The sequence below is a fragment of the Homo sapiens genome, chromosome 11 (genome assembly GCF_000001405.40).
Source record: "Homo sapiens chromosome 11, GRCh38.p14 Primary Assembly".
Classification (NCBI taxonomy): Eukaryota; Metazoa; Chordata; class Mammalia; order Primates; family Hominidae; genus Homo; species Homo sapiens.
In genome coordinates, this window is record NC_000011.10 from 134,875,839 (window position 1) to 134,883,001 (window position 7,163).

A 7,163-nucleotide genomic window follows, 5' to 3' on the forward strand; every position below is an offset into this window, starting at 1 on the left:
CACCTGGCCTATTAGCTGAGTTTTTTTTTTAATAAAAATTAAAAATAAGCCTTTAATATATACCTTCTTTTAAAAACATTTCCAACATATATTTTCCTTTCTATAAATACAGTTAACATTTGGTATAATATCATTTAGTCCGAAGAACTTCAACAGGTATGCAGCAACATTTGTTCAGAATATTTTGTCTTAAAATGTTTCTATTTTATGTTCAATTTTGAAGGCTATTTTTGCTGGATAGAGAATTTTAGGTTGACTTTTTTCTTCTGGTGCTTTAAATATGCTTTTGCATCATCTTCAGGCTTGCATTTTTTTTGTTGGTAACCTGCAAACATTCCAATGTTTATCCTTTATAGAGTAAGTCTATTTCTTCCTTCTGACTTCTAGTGTTTTCTTTCTATCACAGTTTTGTAGCAACTTAATTAAAATACACCACGTGTTTTCCGTTAGATATATATTGCTTGGGTTTTATCAGCTTTCTTGATGTTGCCCCACATGGCACAGCCCTGCAAGCTCCAGCAGCCTCCATATTTCTGGATTCTAATCTCTGTCTCCTCACTTCAGTGAGACGACTGTGCCGTGTTTGGTTTCCCTTTCCTTGGAAACCAGAACGGGAAAGGGACTCCAGAGGGGAAGGCATCGCTCAGGTGTTGCAATCCTGTGCTGTGTGTTGTCTGATTTGGGAGGAACTGTTACCCCATGTATCTGGCTCAGCTCTCTCAACGTGCATACATCGGGTCAAGTCTGGTGCCAGTTACTCTGTTAGAGCCACAGCCAGGGCTTTCCAATCACTCCTTAAGGATTCATTGGTTAGACATGCTAGTGCACACTTAGAAGGTTCTTCCCACTGTATAACTACTGCCATGTGATATGTATCTAAAGCAAATGAGGTTTCTCTAGTATAAGGAAACTGGTTTTAAAATAAAAATGCAACCCTTGCCATGCCCTTGAGTTTCCCGTTCTCTGTATTGTTGGGGCTGCATCCGGTAACCAAATTTCTTGCAGGCACTAGCAGATGAGCCCCTTGCTGTCCCTCCACATGCCCCCTCTCCACTTGGGCCCATGTTTGCTCATCTGGACCCCTCTCCTGAGGAGAAACTGGTCTTTCCTCAATTCTGATGAGAACATGTATCCCCAGCCAAGCCCATGGAACTCAAAATGACATGGACCTCAGCTGGCCCTTGCACTGGCTGGCCATGTCCTTCAGCAGAAGGCTCAGCAGGTCCTGTTGTGCTTTGCTAGGGTCAGCGTGAATGAAAGGGAAGGCTCATAATTACGGTAATAAAACAGTTATATTCAGTCGTCGTCATTTTCATGTCAGATGGAGGTAATTATCAGCATTTATAGAGGGTCTGCCAGGGGCCAGGCTCAGAGCTGGTGCTGGGTATACAGTGGTGCATAAAACCAGTGAGGTCTCTGATCCTGCAAAGCTTGGAATTGAGAATCTAGCTCAAGCAAAACCACTTTAATATTATTTGTCAATAAAATTTACTTTGTTTGGATTAGTAAATGTCATTTTTCCTCTTTAGAAATGATTTTGTTGTATATTAGAGTAGCATTGGGCGTAGTTCTCAAAATCATCCAAAATATTTTGGCAATGTGCGTTCACATAGACCCTTGACTGTGGCCAAACACATAACCGTTCCTTATGGCATGTCTCTGGCACATCCCTGGAAACAAATAGATGAGAGCAATAGGTCATGAACATCAGGGGACCACAGACTTAGATGTGTGTCAAGGAGATCTGGACACCTCCAAGGAACACTCTGTATTCAAGGAAGCATCCTATCGGTAATGCTTCCACTCTGGACACCTCCAAGGAACACTCTGTATTCAAGGAAGCATCCTATCGGTAATGCTTCCACTCTGTGTGACCATTTCTGCAAGGCTCTGGCACAGGGAAGCCATCCTGGCTCATTGTAAAGTCCTCCGCCGCCAAGAACACCATTTGACCACAATCCACTGCTACCAGTTACATGTAATGACTAGAATATCTAAGGTTCTTTGAAGCTAACATTAATTTTCAGTGGTGGAGAAGATCCCTTTTCTCCCACCATGGGTCTGAAGGGATAAAAATCCAATCACCTTGGGATAAAAGTGTCTTATTTTTGTCTTCTGAGTAATTTAGCATGAACGCAAAAAGTGCAACCATTCAGCAGAGAGAGATGGGAAGGAACCCAGGTTTATTTTCGAGAAACAAGCACATCTCTGCCTCTTTCTTTGACCCTGAAAGACAAACGTCTTTTCAAGATGCTGCACAGAATGTTAAGACAAAATGCTAACCAGTTCATGGAGAAAATGAGGTGCTTTCATTGAAAAATAACTGTGTTTTTATATTTTCATTATATAGTTCACAGTCACCCCCTAGTAGCAATTACACGTTTCCTCTTCCTCATGTTCTCCTGCAGCTTTCCTCTTTCCTCAGTTCAGGGAGTGTCAGCAAACTGGTTGGAAGGCTGCAAGCTGGGCAAAAGCTTTGCAGTCGGCATTCGCCATTCTGGGATATCATTCATTAGAACTGGCTGTCCACTACCAGACCTCCTTTTCTTATTTTGCCTAATAGGACAAGCTGCATTCATTGACAGAATTCACCGTTTTTATCCTTCTTCCCCCTGCCCACCACTGCCGCCACCTCTCTCTCTCTCTCTGTCTATTTAATACAGGGACTCAGGCTAAGAACTGCATGGTATAATGCGTTTATCATTCTTATCTCGTCGTTTTTATTCTAGTGTGAAGTTGTTTTTCAGGTAGTGATGAACTCACACACAATTTCTCCCCTTTTTGAGTAATATGCAGTGTTTATGAAGAGGAGGCTAATTGTGCTGACCTGTTACCAGAGTTGTCATTAGTGTTTTCCTGCAGTTGATTCCTATATTGTCTTCTGTCTCTCATGCAAGCCCATGCTCCTTTATTCTTTCTTAATGGATGCTTTTTCTGTGGGGATAATCAAGGAACTGACAGCTCCCTCGAGATTAAATGTATGACTTTGAAGTTGTAGAACGAGGAGAAAGTACCAGGTGTTGAAGCCAGTATAGGCAGATCCAGACCAGCGTCATGTCCCCAGGCAGCCTCTCCACCTCAATTCTTCACAGAAGGAAAAATAAGTATGTGTCACAAGTCAGTGCAGGACCAGCATCCCAGGGGCCCTGCATTGAAACTCCAGGTAACTGGCCAATACCTCACTGGGCAGGTGTGCCGTATCTGATTACCCCGTTTGATTAGATCATATCTTGGGATTCATTAAGATTAACTGATAGAGGCTGGGTGCAGTGGCTCATGCCTGTAATCTCAGTACTTTGAGAGGCCAAGGCAGGAGGATCACGAGGTGAGGAGTTTGAGACCAGCCTGGTAAACATGGTGAAACCCTGTCTCTACTAAAAATACAAAACTTAGCTGGGCATGGTGGCTCGTGCCTGTAATCCCAGCTACTTGGGAGGCTGAGGCAGAGGTTGCAGTGAGCGGAGATCACACCACTGCACTCCAGCCTGGGCGACAGAGTGAGACTCCATCAAAATAAATAAATACATAAATAAGATTAACTGTTAGAGCAGGACTTGGGGGCAGGGGGCAGGGCAGTGAGATATGCTAACCCTATTCTCCCACTCAGGTGACAGGAGGGCAGCTGCTGATGCAGACGGAGGGTGCTCCCTGTCTCAGCAAGAGCAGAGTCCACGGGTTGAGGCAAGGGGGGCCTGCTGGAAGTCAGGCCAAGTGGAGCTCCGGGTGTACTAGAAAGGTGGATGCAGCTCACAGCACGGTGAGATGTGGAAGTACAGGCATTTGGTGTGTGTGCAGGAGGAGCTGGTGACAACAAGGCTGGCCCAGGCCCAGGAGACCAATGGGGCATTAGGATGCCTCCTACATAAGGTCTAGGGAAGAAATGCAGCTGTGAGAATTAGGCTCAGAAACAAAGCAAAAGCACAGGGGCGTGTGGTGTGTCCCTAATGCTGAACTCTGGGAATAGGTCTGGAGGGTGGAAGACCAGACATTGTGCTGCAGTCGCGATTGGTCCTGGTGACTAGGAAAGGGAATCCAGAGACCTCATTTTTGGGACAAGGGGCTGCATATGGAGGTTTACTACCAGAAGGGGCCTGAGGTTTGTGTCACTATCACAAGGGCAAGGTCATAAGTTTTCTGTGAGGCCCTAAAATTAGTACCATGCCCCAGCCATAGACCATGTACTTCATATTTGCTAGTTCACTTGGAAATCTACATTGAGGGTGCCAAGCCATTGAGTGTCTGAGAAAGAATGAATGAAATGAATGACAGCAATCAGTGTCTGACACCTGCTATTTATGCATCAAATGCAGTAGAATGAATGATCAGTAAAAACTCTCTACCAGCAGGAAAAATAATCAAAGCGCTCCTTAACTGATCAGATGCTGTTGTCACACTGGAGTGTGGGTGATGAGGCTGACCTATAACAGGCCAGAATAAAAATCCGGTGGAATGAAGGTCTGTCTTAGAGACCCCGAAGACAAATGAGAACTGACACGGCTCTTGTGTTCTGCAAAGCGCTGTCACAGACGTGCCATTTTACCTCTGCAGTGACCCCGCTGCTATTGACATCATCACTCACATTTCACAGCCCAGGAGCCTGGGACTCAGGGTGATGGAACAACTGCCAAAGTTGGACCCACAGGGTGGACACATGATGGTCTGAGTGGTTCCTAAAGGCAGGACATGGAGGCCAGTTCTGTAGAAACACACCGGCAGCAGGACAGGACACCAGGAAGTCAGCACCAAAAACTCTAGAGGCAGAGAGAGCTGTGGAACTCGGTTCTGGACTGTGTGTCCTGTAGTATGTAGGCAAGTCTGGGCCCCAAGTACAGAGTCCTTCAAAAAGTGGGCCAGAAGCTAGCCTGTGTTTGAGGCAGGAAGATAAATGCTATTACTATTTCTAATTATACAAACACAAAGGAAGCTTTAGCTCTGAGATCGCAGTTACTGTTTAAAATTTAAGTCTAAATTCCAAATTTAAAGTTTCTTAAACGTTCACATGATGCCAGTGAAGGGCAGGTGTCCATTTTAATATATTCTCAAATGGGGCAATATTGAGAGTCAGAGGGGGAGTTGCTAAATATTTGCCTGGAGTGGTGGCATCAGCATTCCCTGGCAGATCTGCTGGTGTCGTGCCGGGCTGCCCCGGGGGCGCTGGAAGAACGGGCCCAGCAGCTCAGGACAGGGTTCCTCTCCCCAGGAGGGGCAGCTCCCAATTCCCACTGTGGACAGACACAGACTTTGTTTGAGTGAATCACTCCTACTAGTTGTGCAAAATCAGGAAGCCAGCCCAAAAGACCTTTGGATGCTGAGGATGAGGATGGGATCATTTAAATTTTATTTTTAAATGAAAGACCTGCCTTCTTTCCAATTCTGCCCTTAATTGGCCATGAGCCTCAGGCCTGCCCTGTTCTCTCTCCTTAGCATCACTTTGCTCATCTATTAAGTGGGAATTGTGGCCCCTTCCCCACCTCCCTGCTGTGTTTTTCTGAGGGGCAAATGAAACAAAGCGTGTTAAAGCTCCTCATGAGGTGGATACTCTTAACAAAGGTGTATGGTTAACTGTAGGTGTTAGCTTGACTGTATGAAGGAATACTTGGACGGTAAAACATTATCTCTGGGTGTGTCTGGGAGGGCATTTCTGGCAGAGGCACACTGGAGTCAGTGGACTGAGCCAGATCCACCCTCACCCAGCATGGGTGGGCACTGTCCAATCGCTGAGGTCTCGAGAAGAGCAAAAAGGCAGAGGAGGGTGAATTCTCTTTTGTCCCCTTTCTCTTGGAGCTGGGATGTCCTTCTCCTGCCCTTGGGTATCGGAACTCAAGGTTCTCTGTTCTTTGGACTCCAGGGCTCGCACCACAGCCCCCAGTTTCTCAGACCTTTAGCCTCAGACTGAGAGTCCCACTATCAGCCTTACTGGTCTTGATGCCTTCCAATTTGCTTGGAGCCATTCCACACCAGCTTCCCCGGGTCCCCCGCGTGCAGACGGCCTCTGCTGGGGCTTCTCAGCCTCCATAATCATGCGAGCCCATCCCCTGATCAGGCTCTTCTCATGTGTCTGGCAACGACCTATTTCTATTTCTTTTCTTTTCTTTTCTTTTTTGAGACAGAGTCTCATTCTGTCACCCGGGCTGGAGTGAGGTGGCACGATCTCGGCTCACTGCAAGCTCCATGTCCCACGTTCACGCCTTTCTCCTGCCTCAGCCTCCCGAGTAGCTGGGATTACAGGAGCCCGCCACCGACCAGCTAATTTTTTTTGTATTTTTAGTAGAGACGGGGTTTCACCGTGTTAGACAGGATGCTCTCGATCTCCTGACCTCATGATCCGCCCACCTCGGCCTCCCAAAGTGCTGGGATAACAGGCGTGAGCCACTGCGCCCGGCTCTATTTCTGTATTCATGTCTAGATCCTTTGTTTTTTCCTCTGGAGAACCCTGACTAATACAAAAGGTAAGAGCCCATCTGTGAGGCATCGTTTCCTCTTAGTAGCAGTGTCAGCTGACAGGGGTGCACCAGCGCTTGAATGCTCGTCCCTCCAAAACTCATGTTGACATGTGTAAGTCAGTCCAACCATAACAGTACTAAGAGGCGGGGCCTTGAAGAGGTGATTAGGCCATAAAGCTTCTGCCCTCATGGGTAGGTTTAGTGCTTTTACAAAGGGCTTTCAGGACTCGGTTCTTTCTCTCACCCTCTCACCTTCCACAACAGGAGGATCCACAAGGAAGACCCTCACCAGATGCCAGCACCTTGATGTTAAACTTCCCAGTCTCCAGAGCTGTGCAAAATACATTTCTGTTCATTATAAATTACCCAGTTTCAGGTATTCTGTTATAGCAGCACAGAACAGACTAAGACAGAGTGAAAGTTTGTTGTTGATTTTCCTTTGGTGAGGCTGTGAGCTCTGTGGATGGGTGTCTCGGGGAGAAGCAGGTCCTTCAGTTTGGGAGCACTGAGTTGAGAGAGCAGCAACAAGGAACCAAGCAGATGCTGTGCCCAGGACTCCTGGCTACCGAGAGGCCAGCAGGAAAGAGAAATGCCGCAGGAGTCGCAGATGGATAAGCAGGTGCCGCGCGGGTGTCAGTGTTTTCTATCTTAGCTCGGTAGCAAATAAACACATATCTCAGTAATATTCTTCCTGGGATAGAGAGATGCTGGGGGAAGGAC